At 41.2% G+C, this 22,387-nt stretch overlaps 2 protein-coding genes across 15 annotated transcripts in view, besides 2 other annotated features; one reads left to right on the top strand and one right to left on the bottom strand.

Annotated features, from left to right (window-relative positions):
• Positions 1 to 524: 524 nt before the first annotated feature.
• TUG1 (taurine up-regulated 1) lies at positions 525 to 10,655 on the bottom strand. Of its 8 annotated transcripts, none has more exons than NR_152868.2 (4): positions 10,534 to 10,655; positions 7,748 to 7,872; positions 6,319 to 7,065; positions 525 to 4,750 (listed from the first exon to the last, which is right to left on the bottom strand). NR_152868.2 is itself a non-coding variant. In NM_001398480.1 (4 exons), exon 1 carries the CDS (start codon positions 10,561 to 10,563, stop codon positions 10,102 to 10,104), a length of 462 nt encoding a protein of 153 aa, NP_001385409.1. In that variant the 5' UTR covers positions 10,564 to 10,655; the 3' UTR covers positions 525 to 4,750; positions 6,333 to 7,065; positions 7,748 to 7,872; positions 8,141 to 10,101. The 8 variants fall into 8 exon arrangements, 6 of the variants coding, with proteins under 6 accessions (NP_001385409.1, NP_001385405.1, NP_001385406.1 ...); NR_152867.2 differs by having other exon boundaries at positions 6,333 to 7,065; NM_001398480.1 differs by having other exon boundaries at positions 6,333 to 7,065; positions 8,141 to 10,655.
• Positions 10,135 to 10,384: a silencer, noted in NCBI's record as "silent region_13620". NCBI's record gives its function as "represses an Ori minimal core promoter by ATAC-STARR-seq in GM12878 lymphoblastoid cells {active_cell/tissue: GM12878}" and the evidence as "EXISTENCE:reporter gene assay evidence [ECO:0000049][PMID:35858748]".
• Positions 10,415 to 10,744: an enhancer, noted in NCBI's record as "active region_18847". NCBI's record gives its function as "activates an Ori minimal core promoter by ATAC-STARR-seq in GM12878 lymphoblastoid cells {active_cell/tissue: GM12878}" and the evidence as "EXISTENCE:reporter gene assay evidence [ECO:0000049][PMID:35858748]".
• Positions 11,146 to 22,387, top strand: part of MORC2 (MORC family CW-type zinc finger 2) — a 43,645-nt gene continuing 32,403 nt past the window's right edge. For 3 of the 7 annotated variants that reach the window (NM_001303256.3, XM_017028667.3, XM_011530004.3), the window contains exons 1-2: positions 11,146 to 12,098; positions 21,226 to 21,279. In NM_001303256.3, the coding sequence (NP_001290185.1) occupies positions 12,031 to 12,098; positions 21,226 to 21,279 (122 nt within the window). In that variant the 5' untranslated portion in view covers positions 11,146 to 12,030. Of the gene's footprint in view, positions 12,855 to 16,585; positions 16,696 to 21,225; positions 21,280 to 22,387 lie in introns of all 7 variants that reach the window. The other 4 variants (XM_047441203.1, NM_014941.3, NM_001303257.2 and 1 more) reach the window with 4 other exon arrangements.

The raw sequence follows: 22,387 nt of genomic DNA, 5'->3' as shown, positions 1-22,387 counted from the left end.
AGTCTGCAAGTTGAAAAGAAAATTAAAAGTATTATAGCACTTAAGGGAAGTGTTTCAAGAAGCTGGTGGGAGTTACCTGTGCTGCTGAAAGTTCATATTAGATGCAGGTGTAACGGATTTAGCAATGAAAAGGTCACTATTGACCTTAATTGCAGTGACATCAGAATATTTCAAGGATTTTTTAAAAAAAGTGACTTTCCCCCTGCTTTCTGCCTAATGTGGATACTGCAATAGTCTTAGCAGATCAACATCAGTCAAGAACTAGAATAATCTTTGATAAACCTTAAAACCACAAAATTCTGATAATCCAAATAAACTCACTTGAAGGAGACATGCTTAAAAAACTAAGGAACAATTACTAAGCTCTGAGTTTCTCAAACAAGCAATGGTATAGCAATCTGTCAACTTGAGTAATGAATGATTTATATTTAATATTTACTAACATAAAAGTAGGCATTTTAAATCATTTGATAAAACAGGCTCAGTGTTGAATAACTTGCCAAGGTCAAACAGTAAGCACTAAATTTAATTTTAAAAATTCTTTATTTAAAATAAAGTTTAAAAATAATGTGGGTAGTGTAAAATATTAATACAGAAATGTATAAAGTTGAAAGTTTCATGTGATCTACACTGTTCAAAGAAAGCTGTGAATAGACCTTTCTATGCATTTATAAACATAAGCACACACATTTTAAAATGAGTTCACACTGTACACTTTTCTATTAATAACTTGTTTCACCTAATGTATCATGGCCATTTTTCCATACACAATGAATGTACTTTATTCATTTTAACAGATACGAGATATTCCTATATGGCTGAACCACACCTTAACCTATCCTTTAATGACAGACATTTAGGTTTTCTATTACTTTCTACCATGTCATTTTTACGCTTCTGTGGGATCTTAAATATTCCCTCAGTTCCTGTTTCATTTTGTCTTCCACTTTGGAAAGTAATTTCAGTGACCATGACCTCTAGCTTAATAAATACTTGGATCTGTCAAGTCTCAATGTTGGTAGATATATTAGTGTGGATTCAATTTCAAGTAACAGAAACCCAACTCAAAGTAACTTAAGCAAAAAAGGGTATTTATTGGTTCACATAACTGAAAAGTCCAGGGGATATTCTAGCTTCAGGCACGGTTGGATCCAGGGGCACAAACGCTGTCATCAGGATTCAAGTCTCTCCATATTTTGGCTCTGCTTTCCCCTGCACTGGCTTCATTCTCTACATGGTAGGCCCTGTTAGTTTGAGGTTTTCATCCTACAAAGCTAAAGCACCCTCAGTAAAGAGAGCTTCTCCTCCACAGTTCAGATGGATTTGCTGATTGATGAGGTCTGAATTACATGTTCACCCACAAAGCTCAAGGTTGGGTCAGACTGTCCAAACCACAGACTGAAAATAGGAAGAGGTGGTTTTAAGAAACATCAGGGAGTTGTTACAAGATGGAACGGATGCTGGGCAATTAAAAACTACTGATGTCCAGGATAAGAACAGATATGAAAAAGCTTAATCTCTGCTTAAGAAGTTGAATGGTAACAGCTGGCATGGTTTCTTCCTTGGTTATAAAAGTATTCTAAAAAAACACCATGAGAGATAAGTTTGTCCTGTCCTCAAGAAGTCTGTAATCCATTTGAATGGAATAATAATCATGTCCAATAGCATATGTTGGATGAAACCACAGTTTCAACACAAGCAAACTCAGTGGTCATGAGTCTGAGAGCCCAACTGTCCTGCTGATCTGAAGTAAGACAACTAGCCTTCTACATCAAATAATTCTGTGAGGCAATTTGAGTCAGCTGTAAATTTTAAGTACAGTGGAAACTTTTCTTCTTTTGCTAGGTTGAACTGGTACAGTTCTGTGTGTACTGGTGAATCGGACTCATTTCTGCACTACTGAAGGAGAGAAATGGACGCGGCTTTCGAACTGCTGTATTCCTTCCAGACCCGATAGATGAGGTTCCAGGTGCTGAAAATGAACAATTACATACAGGAATAGAGGCCTACTCTGCACTTAAAAATATCTTCAAAAAAGTTGCTGGTCAAGGAGTATGCAGCAATGGTCCTTCCTGTTGTGAACATTGAGTCCTAGTGGGTGAGGTGTGGGTTGTTACTATTAAAAATCCTTGTTGTATTGGGCACAAGATAGACTGAAATTGACTGTAGTCCTCACGGTGAGTCTAATTGCAGCAACATGTGAAAAAGGCAGGCAAGAGCTGAGTCAGGAAAATAGACAAGCAGGGTACCTTCAGAAAGGCCAGCCATACCAATAGCCAGAATATGATCTGGAAGAACCAGCAGATCAATAAGGAAGTTCTGTAAATTAGTTTTTACTCTGGGTACTCAGGGGTTAATCCATAGGGCTTATTCTGGATACAGTTTTCTGATCTTACAGAGCCAGTCAGGTACATCAGCTTTCAGTTTCTTGCTCATCTGCCAAAGAACTTTCAGCTCAGGAGAAGGCCTTATCCTCAATCAGACTTGAGGTTCTGTTTAGGAGTCTATGCTACATCTGGGAGTGACAGGGTCAGCAGAGCCAGATTTGTCAAAGTTGGCCCTACTTTCTTTGGTAATCAAGTCGTCATCTTTTTTAACTCAGCCGATCTCTGAGAATCATCTTACAAGCAAGTCAAGGCCTCAGATTGGTTGAATGGTGCTGTTCAAAGATTTAGATGAGATCTGAGGCATGGAGACATGGAGACAGTATACAGACTCCTAGATTTAAGTTTTAGGTTTTTTGCTTTTCTAATCACCAATTCTTATATACAATGTATATTTTAGACTCGAGCAGATGATCATCTTCATCTTAAGTCATTCCTTTTGACTGAGTATGGCAGGATTAGAGGGAATGGCAGTATAGATCAATGTCTTTTTCTGTAAAGTATAGGAAAAACCAGAGAGGAAAAAAAGAGCTGACAATTGGAAGGTAGTAGAAAATTGACGATAATTTCTTCTTAACAAATAATAGTTGTATATACAAGGAGGCTAGTCAACCAGATTTTATTTGTTGAGGGCGAGCAGTCTACAGCAACCAGACCTAGGCCTTGTTTGACGAGATGTAGAGTCGAGTCATGTAATCACAATTGGCCTAGAGAGAGACAAGGATATAAACAAACTATTTCCAATGTTTAACCAGTGCATTCATTCGAGTAGCTCAGGATAGCTGGCCTTTAAATTGACTGGGAAGTAAAGAATGAGTTTTCTCATGACACACATCAAAGTCTCCTTGTTCAACATGATCTGGTCTGAGAGTTCATAAACTGAATCCTTCCTGCTGAAACAGATAAGTTGTCTTTATGTCTGTTACAATGCCTGCCTTAAATATATATCATGGCAAGGAATGAAGTCAGCTGCTCTGAGTCAGTGTAAAATGACAGTATTGAGACTGATGTGGTTCCACTAAAATATCCACAAGGACAAAAGCTCTTAAGTCTACCGATAAAATCCTTAGCTGCAGTCTTCATAGATTTTGTTTTTCAAATCAGTTTGTTTCCAGCAAAAAGGTAGGCAATAAGCTATCGGAAATGCCCAGCAAGTAAGCTAATGGCCTGCTCAAAGGGCCAGCCTCCAACTCTCCCTACCACCTATATTTGGTGGTATCAGACATCAAAAGATTCATCTTAAAAGAACATCTCTCGGCACAAGGCAGAGCAATTAAAAAAAAAATCTATTACTGGCTAGAAGAAACTTTTCCAAATGGTTTCATTTTAAATCACATGAGAAGGGGTGTTCAAAGATTGTCGCTTGAAGTTCAACTGTTAAAGTGAGCTGAATAGTCATAATAATTCTGGAGAATAGGCAGATATGCCAGTGATGAAGAAAAAAGAATTCAGCCTTTTTTTTTTTTTTTTTTAAAGCTTATTAGCTCATTTATCTTGGAAACAGTAGTTAAACTGAATAAAAACCAAGGGGCAATATAACTGCTACTGGTTGAGTCATACAGTGATGTGTAGTTTGGAAAAGAAGACGAATGATAGATATTGAGCCCCTTTAGGAAATGTTGCCAGTATTTGAATTTGGCTTTCATAGTTATCTCTTGCACACGAAGTAGAGTACCATGGCTGATAACAAGAGGTCAAATGTACAAGTTGCTCTAATATGGCCTCAATGAGGCACCAGCTTCAAAACCCGCTTGCTGATAATTCAGGTATTCATGGAGGGTCAAGACTTCAAAGTCATGTACTTCAAGTACCAGTAGAGCATCTGGTGTTGCTTAAGGGAGTCTGTCAGTGTAGGGTGCATAGAATTGTTCTCTGGCTATATCCCATTCTAGGAATCACTGGATATCCATCTGGAGTGGAGGGCTGTTAATCTAGGTTCACTTGACACCATCTTCAGCAAATGATCATTCCTGGGGTCAAAGACATGCCTGTCTTCTTGCACTTTTCTAAGTTCACACACAGTATTTCTAAGAATGTTCAGCATCTACTGAACATGAACTGTGCTGAGTGGAGGTACAGAAAAGATTGGAATGCCATTCAGGTCAAACATATTGCTGTCTGGGGCAGTGGTTTTCAAACTGTGTTCGGAAGAGTTCAAGGTGTTGTAAGGAAGTCCCCTTAGGTGTCACCACGGTGGTAAAGGAAGATAGTTGTAGCAGGATTCAGGCCCCTACTCTTGCTTCACTACTTCATCCAGAGCAGCTTCACTTTTACTCTGGGCTTCTGCACAGTTTTCACTCAAAGGGCTTCATGGCCACAAAGCCTTTGGAAAACCAATGATCTAAGAATAAGTCGGTCACAAAATGCTGAAATACAAAAAATAGGTCACAGAAAGCAGAAACTGTAAGCAAAGCCTGTGGTAAACCAAGGTGTTTTCCTATTCTTTCCCTAAGATGGACCACATTACAGGTTGATGGAGTTAGAACTCATCTGCTATAAATTTTGATTGCCTGCAGTTGGGCTTGTAAGTATCTATCAGAGAACAAGGCTAATGATTTTCAGTTGTAACAGCACTGGGGTTTTTGCCTAAGGATGCAAAATGCATCCAATTCTTTGTAAGTATTACTCCAAGAAGTCCATGGCTGGATGACTTCTCAAGCATTATCTCAAGGAGATAAATCTCAAGAAAATATCTCCTCATCCCTTTTCTCCCCTTCCCAACCTCCTTAACCCACCTGAGATGCAATGTCCTTGAACTAAAGTTATGATACAATTCTAGGGATACAGAAGTATATTGCTAAATGTCATGGAATTTATCCAATTTGGGGTGAATTAACTTTCTTCCATTCCTTTCCTATGTCTCCCCATACATCTTCTAGGGATTCCCTTGACAGAAAATAAAGGTAATGGTCAAGATGCAAGACTCTCAGATGACAGAGACATACTAATTCAACCATTAATAAGAAGGTATGAGAAAGGGGGATTTTGAAGATGCTGTTTATTCTGGGGTGTCCAGGGCAATCTGCTGGCAATCAGGAAGCACTGGTTATACTGCTCTAGAGCAGTTTCTGCATTCCATTAGATGGAATGATGCAAAAAAATATCCTTCTGTGTTTGATTAAACTTAGGACACAAAGGGTTAAACAGCAAAATGGAACTCTTTACTAGAAGTCTTTTTTTTTTTTTTTCAGACTTCTGAATTTAAGCACAGAAGCAGTAGTAATTTGCTGCAAGTCTCCTGAGATCCTTTAATACACTATACCTCAATGTAGACTGGGGGAAGGGCCATGTCTTACATACTTTACTATCTTACTAGGTAACAGAAGCTTTCTCCATGTCATATTTACACACACACACACAATACTGACTTTAAAAAAACCAGGTGGCTCATTTTGTGTAAATACTAGTTTGCAAAGATAGGACCATAGACAAGCTCTTAGGGCCCAGGAATATCAGTAAGTCTTAAAAAATCTAAAAGTAGCTTTGTGTTTCATATTGGGTAGCTTTGCTGTTAGAACATGTCCCGTTTTTGACTTGACAATCTACCACCACGGAGATATTATGCCCTTAAACCGTGGGATATTGCCATGGGATTCTGGTCCAGATGTAGCTATCACGTGATCACACATCCTATGTGACTAGGGGCACCAGATCAGGAAGCTGGAAAATTTCCTGAGGTTCCCAATACCCAGCCATTTTAACACTGTGGGTAAAATGGAGGCTAATTCCAAGGAGAGTACTGGACTGGGTGTCAGAAAGCCTGGCCTCTACCACTTTCACAGCTGTGTCACCTTGGATAATTGCTTAACTTTTAAAATTTACATTCCCTCATTTCCAAAAAGGGATTATAATTCACTGTTATTTTGATAATTGAGATAAATGTACGTACAAGTGCTTTGAAACTGTAAAGTGCATTATAAACAGAGGGATTTACCATAGAGGTTCTACCTTGATGTATCAAGAGAAGCCTTTTCTGGAATCTGGTGCAGCCTTGTGAGATGCTGTTAGGTAAGGGGACTCCTTGGTAGAATTTCTTACATTTGTGTAAAAAGTTCTGGTTCCTGAGTAATTCCAAAGAAGATGCTATGAGGAGTTCACTGTGCCTTTGATTTGATCCCAATGGGTCAGAATATGTTTTCTCATTCAGTAGGCTACTACAGGATTTGAAGTAGAAAAAACAGGGTCCAGTGACCTTCACGGGATCCTAGATGTTCATGAATTTCAATCATTTGAGATTGTGGGGTGTGGTCCAATGCTGCTCTCAAAAAGATGTTGCCTTTCTTCAGAGAGCATTAATAACTAAAAAATCCCCTGGTCCAAATTTATTGTGTGTCTCTGAAGGCTTTAACTGAAGAAATGAAATGCACACTCATGGAACAAACTAGGCCTTTGTTGTGATAAAACAGCTTTAGCTATTTGGCTTGAGGACTCTGACTTCACTATAAAGGGCTGTGCTGAATCTGGGTAGAACAAGACAGGAGTGGAGGTAAAGGCCACATCATGATGGCTGAATGCCTCCTGGGTCACAGTGGTCCACTGGAATGGGTGTCTTCGTCAGTAGTAAGGTGGTAGGAATCATCTCGGGCAAAAATCCAGGTACCAGGTCTGTAGGCTGATGGAATAGCACAGGGAAGGTAGTCAGAAGGTCCAGGTGAACACTCAGCAATCAGGAGGCACAGGACTAGAAGGGGCAGGGACAAAACAGGTAAAATAACAAATGCATGGAATTACAAACACAGGACTCTAAGTGGGTCTGCTGTCAGCACATCGGCAGCCTGATGGCTGTTAATTCTTGATGAGCCTGGCTTAGGCAAAGACAAATGATAAATGAAAACAAACAACAGCAATCCAAAAAAGAAAACACAAAAGTCTGATTAACACTCTCGATTTGTGGGAACTGTCTCGCGAAGCAGCACACAGAAACTAAGCCTTATACTTTAGGAGAGTAATTTGATCGGATTCAGGGTACTGGGCATTTTTTGGTGAGGAGAGGAAGTGGCTCCACAAGTGCCATAAAAAGAACTGAGATTTTAAGTTTATATACCAACAATAAAACAAAGGAGACATTGCCCCTCTTCCTCTTCCAATGCCTTCCTCAAACTGTCTTATGACCTTCTCCTTTTAAAAAGCTGTCCTTTCATCTTAACAAGATTCCATCTTAAGTAGGAGAAAATAAGGTCTTGGTCCTTCTGTATGTAATACCCCATCATTCAACATATTGGTTTCTCCTTATGTCTGAGGGCTCCCTAGATCAAAATTTAGAATTAAAAAACATTAAAACATAAACATGATCCATATCTAGCGACTTTTCTCCTCATTAAGAGTAATGTAAGTTATCACATAGCAATTAAGAAAACACTTACTGAGTGGTTATTCTGATAGCCTGCTCTCTAAACTCCTCCTTCCTAATAAATGCATCTTGATATGTTGTGGTGTATGTGGGCAAAGATGCACTAAACAAGGACCCTGCTTTCAAGGAGTCTGCTATCTGCAAAGACAGTAAATGCAGGCAAGTAACTATTTTACAGGATTTTGTATACAGATAGAGGATACATAACGAAATGTCATAAAACTTTAAAGCTCTATTCTGGCTAGTTAGGAGACTCATGGAAAAGAGGGCATAAGAGTTGGATACTGAGAAAATGGCAGTTTTGACAGATGAAAAGCCACAGAGCAGCAGTTCCAAAGTAGAATGAGAGTATGAACAAAAGTGCAGAGATGGTAAAGGATAAGGCATTTTGGAAAATGGCAAGTACCATAATTCACTTTGGATGGAGCATCCTCAGTTTGCACTGAGGGTCTGGACAGAAACTCAGGTCTTCTAATTCCCAGTAACAGTGCTGGTGGTAGTGCTTGCTCAGTCGTTGTCTCTTTTCTCACAGCAAGGTCAACAGTCCCAAAATTCAAAAATAAAAAAAAATCTACCTCCAGTGTTCCTGCCGCATCGTGACAAGCTCTTTCGGGTTCCAGGTCCAGGTCTTGAAAATCTGGAAATCTGGAGTCCATGGCTGTGGCTACACTGAAAGTTATCTGCTCCAACTATTGCAGAACACTGTAGTGAAATCTTTTCAACCTCCAATCCTGGACATCTCATGTTTTGCCACAGAATTTCAAGCTTTGAGTTCCAGTTGTTTTTTTTCCCTCCTTTCTGCTGAGGAAAGCATCTTATCACCACAGTCTTAAGTCTTTTGAGGTACATCCGGATTTAATTACAAAAGAGCAAAAAGACCAACACTTTTTTTTCTCCAAGTCATTTCTCTGGAAGTGAGATTATCTGTCTCTGCCCTTTAGGAAAAGGGAATAGTCAATTGATTTTTTCAGACATTTGAATGAAATAGCATAACTGGCTAACATCTAATCAGACAAAATACACTTAAATGTGTTTGTGTTCACTTGCTTAGGGCTGTACCACTTGGTGAGCACCACTCCACAAAACGAAAATGTTTGAAATCCAATTGTTCAAACATTTTTATAGTGTTTGTTGGATAATGGCCTGAAATTTGATAAAAGCAGCTGACAACTAACAAAGAAGCAAAAACTGGCATCTTGGACATCCTAGTATTACACTTGCAAGCAATTAGAACACAAGGAGGGCCAAGGAAAAAGTTTAGCTTTGAATCACTTCCAAATCTACTGATTTTGAGGTTCCGCAGTAGTTCTAACAAAACTTTTCAGACAATGTTAACTTTCGATTAAGAAAGAAAAAAACCCCAAACATCTTCAGGAATTCCATGCCAGGTTCAGTCTCTTCCAGTGAGCCCGCTTGCTAAAAGTCCACGTGCACCATTAATTAGCTGGGCTGGCAGCACCATGTAAAAAGAAGCCTATTCACCACCAACCACACAGCCTAGACATGTAAAGTAGGATCAAGTAATGGATGACAACCATGGTCGTGGAATATGGTCAATGAGAGTCAGAAAAGTACAGGCACCAGTACAAGCAGCAGATAACAGAGTTGACGGGCCAAAGGATAAAATAGGCTTATTTAAATAGGATGCTACAGAACACATCCACTCCTAATTGTAGCTGCTTTACACTGGGTGCCATTGTACCATATGCATCAGCCACCCTTCAGGCACCCCATGGTGAAAGAAAAGGATTCAGAATAGAAGCCAAGCAGGGGACTGTTGTTAACCCCGAATATCCATTATGCATAGAAACAGCTCACATATCCCAGGGACTCAAACAGGGCTTCAAAATGGTTGTGAAGGGTCCCAAATGACATCTAGGCCTCAGTTTCCTCTCTGTAGCATGAAGAAATTGTGATTCTTAACTCTTCTGGGTCACAGCCCCCTTGGAAAACTTGCTAGCGATGGATCATCATTCCCCTAAAACGCACATTCCCACAAATTCCCATCATTCCCCCAAACCGCACATTCCCACAATTTCAGGAAGTTTGGGGATCCCCAACTCCAATCCAAGGTTCCCAGGTTCAAAACCCAAGGATTGGGGAACTGCTAAGTTTTCTTACAACTCAAAAAAAATTATAAACAATAACCATCCTTTACGTACACCCACGCTTTATAGTTTACAAAGCGATTTCAACCCCACACACATTGATAGGCAGAGGAGGAAACTGAGGCGCAGACAAATTACAGAGTGACTCGCCTAAGGTCACTCCGCCAACTGGTGGCTAGGCCCGGAAGAAAACCCAGCTCTTCCGACTCCGGAGCTCGTCTCCCCACCCCGGGGCTGCCGCCAGAGCTCCCGCCCCTCACTAAGGCGGCATAAGGAGGAAAAGGCAAAGTAGAAATCCCACAACCAACCATCCTCCGGCCCCCTCCTGCCCCCCCAACTGGGTCCTTGCAGGCCCCGAAGGGTGGCGCCAGGCCTCCAAGCCGGCCCCGGCCACCCCCGCCTCCCCGGCCGCTCCAAATCCCGCGGCCGCTGCCGCCGCCGCCTCCCCCGGAGCGGGGCGGAGCAGCTGCCCGCCGCCGCCGACCACCCGGACGACTCCTCGTCGAATCGCAAACGCATAGGCCGCCGCCCGAGTTCTGCGTACGAGAAGAAAGACGCGGCGCGAGCGCCAACGGCCACCGGGCGCGCGCCGCGGCGGCCGGGCCTGCGCCCCAAGAGCTGGATGCCAGAGCAGGAGAAAGAGCCGCCAACCGATCGCTCGATCGACCGCACGCCCGTTCCTTCGCCCTACCAGACCCGGGAGGGGGGGAGGGCGCGCCAGGGCTTCTTCGATTTAGGGGCCTGACTCCCCGGCGACGAGACAAGATGGCTCCTCCGGTCCGCACCGCAGCTACCGTCCCGGCTGCGTCGCTCGGCCCGCCCCCGGTACTGTTTCTTTAAATGGCGGAGAGGGTCAGGAAAGCAGGAAGAGAGGCGCACGCTGTCACGTGACAGGGGCGGGACCGGCCAACCAAGATCCGGTCACATGGGGACACGCAGCCCGCCAATCAGGAGGCTGTACATCAGGGCGGGGGCGGGAGGAGCTGCAGCTTTGTGATTGGCTGAATGCTCCGCGGAGGCCTCGGGGGCTTGGGGCGTCGGGGAGTGTGCGAGGTGGCCGGGGCTGTGTGCACTATCGGAGACAAAGCGGTGGCTGTGGTGTCTGTGACGGCGGCGGCAGAGCAGCTCTAAACGCCGAATTTCGTGTTGCTGAATCCTGTCACCATCTCAACTAGCGCGGCGCGCGGGCGGCGCGCGGGCGGCGGCGGAGGCAGCGGCGGCGGCGGCGGAGGCGGCAGCAGCACATGGTTCCAAGAGCGCTCTGCGGCTGTTGGGTTCCAATTCCGCGGGGAGGGACAAAGGCAGTTGTGAGATCCGGGTAGTGCCCGGTCAGGTGGTGCGCTCGCCACTGCCCTCGATCCGGTCCTTGGAAGCCGGGAGTAGCTCCTCTTCGTGGGGAGGCGGCCACGGGACCGAGGCCCGGGAAGGGCCTGGGAGGCTGAGGCTGTTGTCTGAGGGACGTGGGGGCGGGGCGCGGCCTGCCCGAGGTGCTGTGGGCGGGTCATTTGTGAGGTGTTTATGTGGGCCAAGTGTGAGGTAATCTGACCACCACCCTGAACTGGGTTTGGTCCGGCTTTGAAAAAAGAAATCGTGAGTGCCTAGGAGCTTTTTCACTTGGGAGGTGGTGAAGCTGCAACTTGCGCCATATAACACTCCGTCGACATCTTGGTCTCCGGTCTTGGGCCTGTTTAAGAATCCTGGCATCACGTGTGGCGAAGACATGGCTGATCAGTTTTCTGACAGAAGTGGGTAAATTTCCGCGTTGGTAAATTTCCTGACAGGAAATTTCGGGGAACCAAAAAAGGCTGGAAGAACATGAAGATGGAGCAGTCATAAACCACCCACTCAAGGACCATCTCCTTCAGGACCATCCACACGAGACTCAGATTGTCTGAATTGAGCTATCGCAACTTAATGCTAAAAGCTCCTTAAAGCTACAGATTTATGACATAGTTCCTTCCAAAATATTACATCATAAATCATTGAGAAGATTAAAAAAAAACACTTGAAGAAATTGTAGTTTTAAACATCTCTGCATATATTTTGGATAGCTACTAGGTTACTTTAACTGTCATTAAGGAGCACAGACTTACTGAAGCTTTACTGGACAGAATCCTGGGAAATCGATATCATTATAAGGTTATATTTCCCAGTTAGCGGGTGAAGGGCTGGAGACCTTATTGCAGTCATGGCTTTCACAAATTACAGCAGTCTGAATCGAGCTCAGCTAACCTTTGAATATCTGCACACAAATTCGTAAGTATCCTCTAGGTGCCACTGAGGTAACCAGTAACTCGTTCCTTGATATTATATGGAAATCGTTTCCCCAGAAAATTTTGCTTTTTCACTTTTTGAGATGTATCCCACTGGAGTGAAATGTGTCACTGGATATCTTGAGCTCTGTATTGAAGAACTGAGATCAGTGAAATACTTGTTGCTAATCCAGAAGAATCTGATTTTTGTTTATTGGATCAAAATTTTCTAAATGCAAACTTTAGTTATTTGAAGTCAATATGTTGAGTTGTTTCATTCAAGTGTTTATAGGAATCCAACAAATACTGCTCTATTGGATCGCCAAATGTTGGACTATTTTAGTATCAACCGTTTCCCCTCTGTAGTGACAACGTCCTAAACAGTTAGGTTTATAACAAGTGTTTACTTTCTAACAAGAAAACAGAAGACATTTAAATGACAACTTTCAAGAAGAAAATTTTTATTTTTTCAGAAGTTGGCATTATCTTCCTGGCAGATTGCTCACATCCAATATTATTTGTATATGCTAAACAGGAAACGGCAACTTGTTTATATCTCTATTTAGATAGTCTTTCCCCAAAATTTCCACAGAAACATACAGTGTTCATGGTTCTTGAGTTCATGAAGGAGTAATCTAATCACTCCAACATGGTCTGGAATGTTTCAGGTTTAATCCATATGCCCACTCTCTTGGAGGCTGTCCAGTAGCGTCAAAACTTTAGTGTTTTAATACATTCACCTGTTACTTTTGAGATGAAGGTAAGTGTTCTAACATTCTAGTACCTGGAGAGGAGATGAGCAGCTACATGAATGGTCCAGTCTCTGAAGAACCCACTTCAGAGTCGAGAGTATAGACTTCCATTATGTAGTAATAGTACAATGGTTTTTAGCTTTTGATGGAGAAGACAACATGTTTGTGATATCATAATGTCTGTAATATTTCTATTTTTCCTTTAAAGGGAATAAAATTTTGCCAAGTAGTGAAGCAAACTGTCAAATGGTGAAAGCCTGTTTTTATTTTTTTTAGGAAGTTTGTTATTTTTTTGAGAGACGGAGTCTTGCTCTGTTGCTCAGGCTAGAGTGGGGTGGCGCAATCTTGGCTCACTGCAACCTTCACCTCCCAGGTTCAAACGATTCTCCTGCCTCAGCTTCCCAAGTAGCTGGGACTACAGGCATGCACCACCACGCCCAGCTAATTTTTGTATTTTTTTAGAGAGACGGGGTTTCACTATATGTTGGCCAGGCTGGTCCCGAACTCCTGACTTCAGGTGATCCACCCACCTTGGCCTCCCAAAGTGCTGGGATTACAGGCATGAGCCACCATGGCCGGCCTGTAGCAGTCACCTAGGTTGAATTCTAACACTTAAGTATGATGACCCTGAAACACACTTGGGTGAGGTTGCTGATTAGTGATTATTCAGCTAGTTGATAGCATAGCCTTGGGAAAAAACTTTAGTGTCCTTTTTAATGTTTGAACTGCCATATTAAGAACAAGCAGTTGAAGGCCACTTAAATGTTCATGGATGACTGTGTTTGATAAATGGTTATCTCAGCTCTGAATTTTGGAATGATGGTAAGTCTGGAATTACAGATTTTATGATAATCTTGGAAGACCATGAACTGGACTTCAGAATTTCAGTTCTTGTTCCAGCTTCACCAAAGACTTTATGGGATAATAATAGTAACAACAGTTAATTGCTTCATATCAGTCACTATTTTAAACATTGTCCAAAGCAATCTTTACAGGAAGCCTTTGGGATAAGGATTATTCCTATTTTGCATTTGAGGAAACTGAGGTTCAAAGAGATTAAATTACATGGTAATGGCTATATAGCTGCCAAGTGGCAGACTTAAACGGTGCCAAGATTTAAGACAGTGGGATTTATCTGGCCACAGTAGTTGGTGCTTTTAACCATTAGGCAGTGCCTACTGTAGTCAGTTTTACCTTCAAGAGCCTATTTGCTTGTCTATAAAGCAAAGGGTATACTTCACAGTTTAAAAGTCTTCAATTTTAGTTTATCTCAATGAATCTCTAAGGACTCTGGGATATTTCTCCCTTCTTTTTCCCCCTTTGCTATTTTATAGCTTATTGATAGATACTTGGCACTGCCAAGGAAAGGAAAGAAACCAGTTAAGTCATTTGTTGGGGAATTTTCTGGGACTTTGACTTACCCATGTTGAACTGGAACCACCTGCTTGCATGAACATTTGAGGGTTGGAGTATCATTTTGGAAGCTCTGGAATTTCTTACCTGGATCACAAATTCGACCTTAGAAGTTGTTCTCCTTTTTGATGTATTAGTCCTACCAGAAGACAGTATAAACCCTAAACCAACAAGATAAGTTTTTTATTTCTAATTTCAGAAGATTTTTAAAACATTGTGGTGACCTGATTGGAAGTTCATTTATAGAGAAAATAAATTTTAAAATTCTCACATGATGTGACTTGTAGCTCATAAAGATGGAAGATGAACCACCTGTGTGTAAAGTGGTTCAGTAAGTCATCTTCAGAGAAGGGAAGATTTGTCTCTCTTCTCCTTTGTTCTGTTAAAATCTTAGGAACACGAGACCATTTCATGGTGTCTGACATCTACAGTATTGCGAATTAGGAAATAAATGGTCCTTTGCTTACTTCTCATTAAATGTAGACTTAGAAGCAGTGACCAGATGAGAAGTGTGGAAATCAGTGTGGTGCAGTGAAAAGACCGTGTGCTTGCAAACCAGCCAAACCTGGACTTGAGTGTTTCCTGGCTGTGTCCTTGGACAGGTCAAGTTCTTGAATCTCAGTTTCTTCAACTATAAAATGGGGCTAATCTGACAGTTTTTACGAGGATTATATGAAATGATGTTTGTAAAGTTCTTAGCTCATACGGTGGTACACAGTAAACATTGTGTGAATGGTGAGTGTTACTCTATAATAGTTTATATAAACCAGAAGTTGGTCACTGTGGTGGCAACTTGTTTGGTGCTAGTCATTAGGCACATCAGTTCTTAGGAAATTCTGGAGCATCTTTTGGAGACAGTGAACATCTGTCTTTTTTTGTATCAGGTCTTTGATAACTTTTGATGGTTATTCTGTTGGTTACTTCAGCTTTTTAAGGTTTACAGCAGGCCTGGGAAATAAATTCTCGTGATAACCTGAAAGTCTTCAGTTAATTTAACATCAGATGTTGCTAGTATGAGATGATAAATGTTAGGGTTTTTAAGTAAAAGGAGTTTCATGCTGTTACTTCTCTTTGGTAGTGGGTTTTGTGACTTCTACTTCAGATGTAGTGGTGGTAGTGATGTTCCTTTGGCATAAAATGTGTATATTAAGTCACTTTGTTTGCAGTACTGCTAAGTGGTCTGATAGAGCAGGATGCTTAGATATAAGATGTCTGCTATTTATTTTTGTTGGCACATTTAGTCACTTAACATCTTGGGCATATATTTCTGGGTTTTTTGTTTTGTTTTGTTTTTGGTTTTTTTTTGGATGGAGTCTTGCTCTGTCACCCAGGCTGGAGTGCAGTGGCACCATCTCGCCTCACTGCAACCTCCACCTCCCAGGTTCAAGTGATTGTCCTCCCTCAGCCTTCCAAGTAGCTGGGACTACAGGCGCATGCCACCATGCCTGGGTAATTTTTTGTATTTTTAGTAGAGATGGGGTTTCACCGTGTTAGCCAGGATAGACTTGATCTCTTGACCTCATCATCCGCCTGCCTCGGCCTCCCAAAGTGCTGGGATTACAGATCTGAGCCACTGCACCCAGCCCTATTTCTGAGTTTTATGGGTATGTGAAGTGAATGTAGAGGAGCCTGTCAACTCAGAGACTTAGATTACTTATTACTTTAAGGCTGTTGAGCAGGCTCATATCTTAAATATATTAAAGCCATTTCAATGTAAAATAGTTGCTCTAGAATTTCTCAGCTTTATTTTCTAGCAATTAAGGCAATTACCTATTGTCAGCACGTCTAGGAACTCAGCAAAGGTATACTGTGTGATGGGCCTATGGATGATCTATTGGTTTACATTCAGGATGAATGTAAATAGGGAGACCATTTTCCTTACATAACAAGCTAATTTACAGGTGAATTTGTCCCTGGAAATGCTAAGCTGCAAACTGTTTATACTGTGACACAAATGATATAAAAGCCGTGATCAGCCAGGCGCGGTTGGCTCATGCCTGTAATCCCAGCACTTTGGAAGGCCAAGGTGGGCAGATCACTTGAGGCCAGGAGTTCCAGACCAGCCTGGCCAACACGGTGAAACCCCATCGCTATTAAAAATACAAAAAATTAGCCGGGCATGGTAGCTTGTGCCTGTAATCCCAGCTACTCGGGAGTCTGAGGCAGGAGAATCTCTTGAACTGGGAGGCAGAGGTTGCGATGAGTTGAGATCATGCCGCTGCACTCCAGCCGGGGCAACAGAGCAAGACTCCATCTCTCAAAAAAAAAAAAAGCCATAATCAGTTGAAAGTGAACGAATTTTCAAAAAATCTTTGTCTTTTTCCAGTTCACCTTTCTTGGATCACATGCAAAGGATGTTTAGGTCTGTGAAGAAAAGAATTTCTAGGCCGGGTGCTGTGGCTCACGCCTGTAATCCCAGCACTTTGGGAGGCCGAGGTGGGTGGATCACGAGGTCAGGAGATTGAGACCATCCTGGTTAACATGGTGAAACCCCGTCTGTACTAAAAATACAAAAAAATTATCTGGGCGTGGCTGCGGGCTCCTGTAGTCCCAGCTAGCTACTCGGGAGGCTGAGACAGGAGAATGGCCTGAACCCGGGAGGCGGAGCTTGCAGTGAGCCGATCGCACCACTGCACTCCAGCCTGGGTGACAGAGCGAGACTCTGTCTCAAAAAAAAAAAAGAATTTCTTTTGATGTTTACTCTATCCCAAATGCTAGCTAGCAATGAGTGTACTCTTGGAATATTATTTGGTAAAAAAGAATTTGTGCAGTTGGTATAATTTTGATTCTTATGATTTTAAGAAATATTTAGAACTCTTGATTTTAGCATCTGGAAGATCTATCTTTAATCAGTTGGAGGTCTGGAAGAGATTCTGAGTATTATCTCTGACTTTACCAACAGTGGTCACAAAAGGCTTCTTTTATGATATGTACTGCCATCACAAAAGTACCCTTTGGCTACATTGTAAAGGCTACTGTTAGCTTATCTGAAATATGTATGTATGCATGGAACAGCATTGAGACTGTGTGGAACAACAAAGACCATTAGTTTTTTTTTTTTTTTTTGAGACAGGGTCTGGCTCTTTCAGCCAGGTTGGTGTGCCGTGGCGCAGTCTTGGCTCACTGCAACCCTCGCTTCTTAGGCTCAGGCCATCCTCCCACCTCAGCCTTTCAAGTAGCTGGAACTACAGGTGTACACCACCACACCTGGCTTATTTATTTATTATAAATAATAATTTATTTTTATTTCTCTACTTTTTGTAGAGATGGGGGTTTTGCCGTGTTGCCCAGGCTGATTTCAAATTCCTGGGCTAAAGGCATCTGCTGGCCTGGGCTTCCCAAAGTGCCAGGATTACAGGTGTGAGCCACTGCACCCTGCCCATTTAGAATTTTTTGAAAGTTCTAAATATGCAAGGCACATTTCTTTCTTTCTTTCTTTCTTTTTTTTTTTTTGAGGTGGAGTTTTGCTCTTGTCCAGGCTGGAGTACAGTGGCGCGATCTCACAATGTCGGCTCACTGCATGCAACCTCTACCTCCCGGGTTCAAGCGATTCTCCTGCCTCAGCCTCTCAAGTAGTTAGGATTACAGGTGTCCGCCACCATGCCTGACTAATTTTTTTGTATTTTTAGTAGAGTCAGGGTTTCAACATGTTGGCCAGGCTGGTCTCAAACTCCTGAGTTCAAGCGATCCACCCACCTCGGCCTCCCAAAGTGCTGGGTTTATAGGCGTGAGGCACCACACAAGGCACATTTCTAAGCACTGTGTGGCAGGTGCTTTGTGCTTGCCCTTTGGAGATCTGCTTATTGCATTCTAAATTTCTCATTCTTGTGGGATGCTATCGGAAAATATGTATTGCTAAGAAGCAGTTGAAATTTCTGTTTTGGTTTTCTTGTCCTAATGGCAGAGGGTGTCAAAATTAGTTTTCCAGAATATTCAGATTGACCATTCTCACTACCAAAGACTGGAAACTTCATTATTTATTCTGAAGTTAGTACATTCTGATGCAAGATGTGGTCTCATACTTACTATGGTTGTGCTCTTGTTTTTTTCTGGTAGCTCTATTTTTGAGATTCCTTGATTTACGTTAAAAGTACAAACTCATGTTGAAATGAGAAGAATTGGGATAAAATTGGTCATTTTATATTTCTATATAACAATCCTCAAAAATATTTAGGGTATATAAAATGAATTCACTTTGTAAGTTTCTAAGTCACTTATATGTTTGATAGGAAAATGACTGGTTGAAAGTTTGAAACCAAATGTTAGATTCACTTTTAACCAACATTACCTTTGGCAAGTCACCTTAATTTTTAAGCTTATTTCTCCCTAGTTAGTGGGGTAGTTTACAGAATACTTTTTGTTTATTTAGTTGGTAATTTAAAGAATTTAAAGTGATAATTCTAGAGACAAATATTTTTTGTTCTTTAAATTTTTTTTTTAAATTTTTACTGAGGGGGCACAAGACAGATATTTTTAATAATTAAACATATGGGCCGGGCATGGTGGCTCACGCCTGTAATTCCAGCACTTTGGGAGGCTGAGGCGGCTGGATCACCTGAGGTCAGGAGTTCAAGAGCAGCCTGACCAACTTGGTGAAACCCTGTCTCTACTAAAAATATTTTAAAAAATTAGCTGGGCATAGTGGCAGGCGCCTGTAATCCCAGCTACTCGGGAGGCTGAGGCAGAAGAATTGCTTGAACCCTGGAGGCAGAGGTTGCAGTGAGCCGAGATTGCGCCGCTTGCACTCCAGCCTGGGCGACGCAGTGAGACTCTGTCTCAAAACAAAAAAACAAAATAACAACAACAACAACAAAATATGGCTGTTTTATGGACTTTTTTTTTTTTTTTTTTTGAGAAATCTGTCTTTTCCAGCCGGGTGTGGCGGCTTATGGCTGTAATCCCAGCACTTTGGGAGGCCGAGGCGGGCGGATCACCTGAGGTTGGGAGTTCAAGACCAGCCTGACCAACATGGAGAAACCCCGTCTCTACTAAAAATACAAAAAAATTAGCCGGGCATGGTGGCCTATGCTTGTAATACCAGCTACTCAGGAGGCTGAAGCAGGAGAATTGCTTGAACCCGGGAGGCGGAGGTTGCAGTGAGCGGAGATTGCGCCATTGCACTCCAGCCTGGGCAACAAGAGGAAAAACTCCGTCTCAAAATAAATAAATAAATAAATAAATCTGTCTTTTCCCTGTAGTATAATTAATTAGATTTTACCCAGAAGAATTTGAACTCTATTTCCTAGGTAAATTGATGATAAAATTTCTTTTGGTTATAACATATTTGTCGTGCTGCCTTTGGATTAGCAGCACATATATTCACTGATCTTGTTGGGGGAAAGGTCTTCCTATAATTCCACCAAGTGATAGTTTAATTCAAAATTTGCATTTGTAGGCCGTGTGTGGTGGCTCAGGTCTGTAATCTCAGCACTTTGGGAGTCCAAGGCAGGCAGATCACCTGAGGTCAGGAGTTTGAGACCAGCCTGGCCAACATGGTGAAACCTCCTCTCTACTAAAAATACAAAATTAGCCGGGTGTGGTGGCGCATGCCTGTAATCCCAGCTATTCTGGAGGCCAAGGCAGGAGAATCACTTGAACCCAGGAGGTGGAGGTTGCAGTGAGCCAAGATTGTGCCATCGCACTCCAGCCTGGGCGACAAGAGCGAAACTCTGTCTCAAAAACAAAACAAAACAAAAAAATTGCATTTGTAAAAATTTGGAGTTACTTGAGGAAGAAAAAACAATATTCCTGGAGAGTTTAGTTATGGATATTTATTTAATAAATGTTTTACATTTTGTTTGCAATATGGTAAGCGATCAGAGATCCTAGATGCTGGTTATTTACTATTGATATATTTCATTTAAAAATTCTTACTTTAACTGAAAATTGGCTGAAACTTTTTACTTTGGCTGAAACTCTATGCAAAAAAGTCAGAGTAACATGGATATTTTTGAAAAATTGATGGTCATGTATTATGTGGGTTAATATTGTATTTAATCAGAAGTCAAGTGTTTTTTTTTTAGGTGGTTCTATGTGGACACATCCTAATTTGATATCTCATGAGGACTATTGTGGAAAAGAGCACAAATTAAACAGTGTAAATTGCACATGCTCAATGTATAACTTGTTAGCATTTTGTTTTACCAATACTTGTGCGTCATCTACCAGTGAAGAAAGGAAACTCATACACTTTTGTGTAATTTATAAGCAAAAATATCCCATTTGAAAGAGAAGGTAAAGAGAATAACTCATTTTATGACTTTCTCAGATTTTGGCTAAAACCAGAACTTTCCCTCCATTAAAGAAAGTAATCGAAGACCTTTTCCAACAATTCCTTCTAGGATGACAAGAGCTTGCTTGGTGTGGTTGCCTAGGGCCCCTGTTAACATTAACCCCTTCAAGGAGGGGAACCAGTGGTCATCTCCTCTGGGAGGCTGCTCAAAGTTTGGATTGAGTAAATACACAGTTATCATGTTATTCAAAACTTACTATACTCCAGTCCGAGTGACAAGAATGAGAACCTGTCTCAAAGAAAAAACAAAAAACAAAGTTCAATATTTATGCATAAGATATATCCTTAAAATTCTTGCTCTGAGATATGCAGAAACTGACCACTGGTTAAGGCAATGAAAAATAAAATATACAGGCATTTTTCTAGGCAGGATATGAATAGTGAAAAACACTTTTAGCAGTTACTACACATAGGACTCTTTCAATGCTTCAGGGTGGGTTTCCCAACTCAAAATAGGAAGAATAATCATTTCTGAATAGATGGCAGGACTTGTTAAAGATTAACAATTGAGGGGAGTTGGGGAGCTCTGGAAAGCCTTGAGTAGTATAAAAACAATGCAAATGGTGGTTTTAAGATTTTTTTCAAAAAACTTAAATATTTTATAACCATGGCTTTTTATTAGGAATTATAACTTCAATAATTCTTTTGCTGACTTTTAGTATTTATCATTTCAGAACCACTCACGAATTCTTGTTTGGTGCCCTTGCTGAACTGGTTGATAATGCAAGGTATGTAGTCTTCAGGCATACAATCTGTGCTTGAAGTGGAAACACTTTAGGTAGCTGTGACCTTTGCTCTCTGAAGACTTGAGAGGAAGACATTTCTGTAGAATGTAGACATTCTGTAACTCCTAGGATGCCTCTTACTAAAAATAATATTTTTAATAGCACATTAGTTGATAACTTCCACTTTCTTACTTAAATTCACTAATTGTTCTTTGTGTTCTAGCCTAAAAATAGTGAGTTATCACCTCCAAAACCACTTCCCTTGTGTATTAGAGCAAGATAATTGTAGTAAAATGCAAGGAATTAAGATAGACACTTAGGAATCATATTAATGAGACAGGCAGGCTCTGATTTAATTTGTGCTAGCAGGATAGTACACCATCTAATGTCTTTAAAACTATGCCAAAGTTCTGTGTCTTCTCAAATTGTATATTTGTCAGATAACTAAATGATCACAGTGTCTTTCATTGTTAGCAGCTGTGCTTGGAAGGAATCATTGGTCAGCACTGTCTTATACTGAGTTCTTAGTGATAGAAACATGTAAATGTTACTGTGTAAGACTGAATAGAAGTTTGGGTTAGTTCTGATGTAAATCCAAGTCCATATCAAGATTCTGTTTATAATTAGGAAAATAGTGTCTTAGTCTTATTCCTGAATGCAAACATAAAATTCAGACACATTTACTGACTAGGTTTTGATGACTAAGGAAGGAAGAGGAGGATGAAAATTGACAGCGGAAGTACTTTCAAACAGATCTCCAGTTAATGTGCTCGCTGATAATTTCCTCTTTACCTCTGTGTATACAATAAACTTATTCTAATTACTTTTGTTGTTGTTATTAGCTGGACTGCTCATGGAAGTGTGCTAGTTGTTTAACCAGAAAACTCCTGTTTTGTTTCAATCCTGGTTGACTCATCATTTTTCCATTCAATTAAAAAGTGTTGTAGGTTAATGGAACTGTGTTTGAATTTGCCACTTGTTAATTTAGTGAGACCATGATGTGCGGTGGCAGGCTGCTTTTTTTGTGTATCATATGGTAAAATAGAGATTCTTAGGAGTATGTATTCCTACTTGTGTATACATTTTGCCAGTATCTCTCATATTTGAAAAT

This window comes from Homo sapiens, chromosome 22 (genome assembly GCF_000001405.40).
Source record: "Homo sapiens chromosome 22, GRCh38.p14 Primary Assembly".
In the NCBI taxonomy this organism is placed as follows: domain Eukaryota; kingdom Metazoa; phylum Chordata; class Mammalia; order Primates; family Hominidae; genus Homo; species Homo sapiens.
Note: the sequence above shows the minus strand (reverse complement) of the source record. Positions and strands in the feature narration are given on the sequence as shown.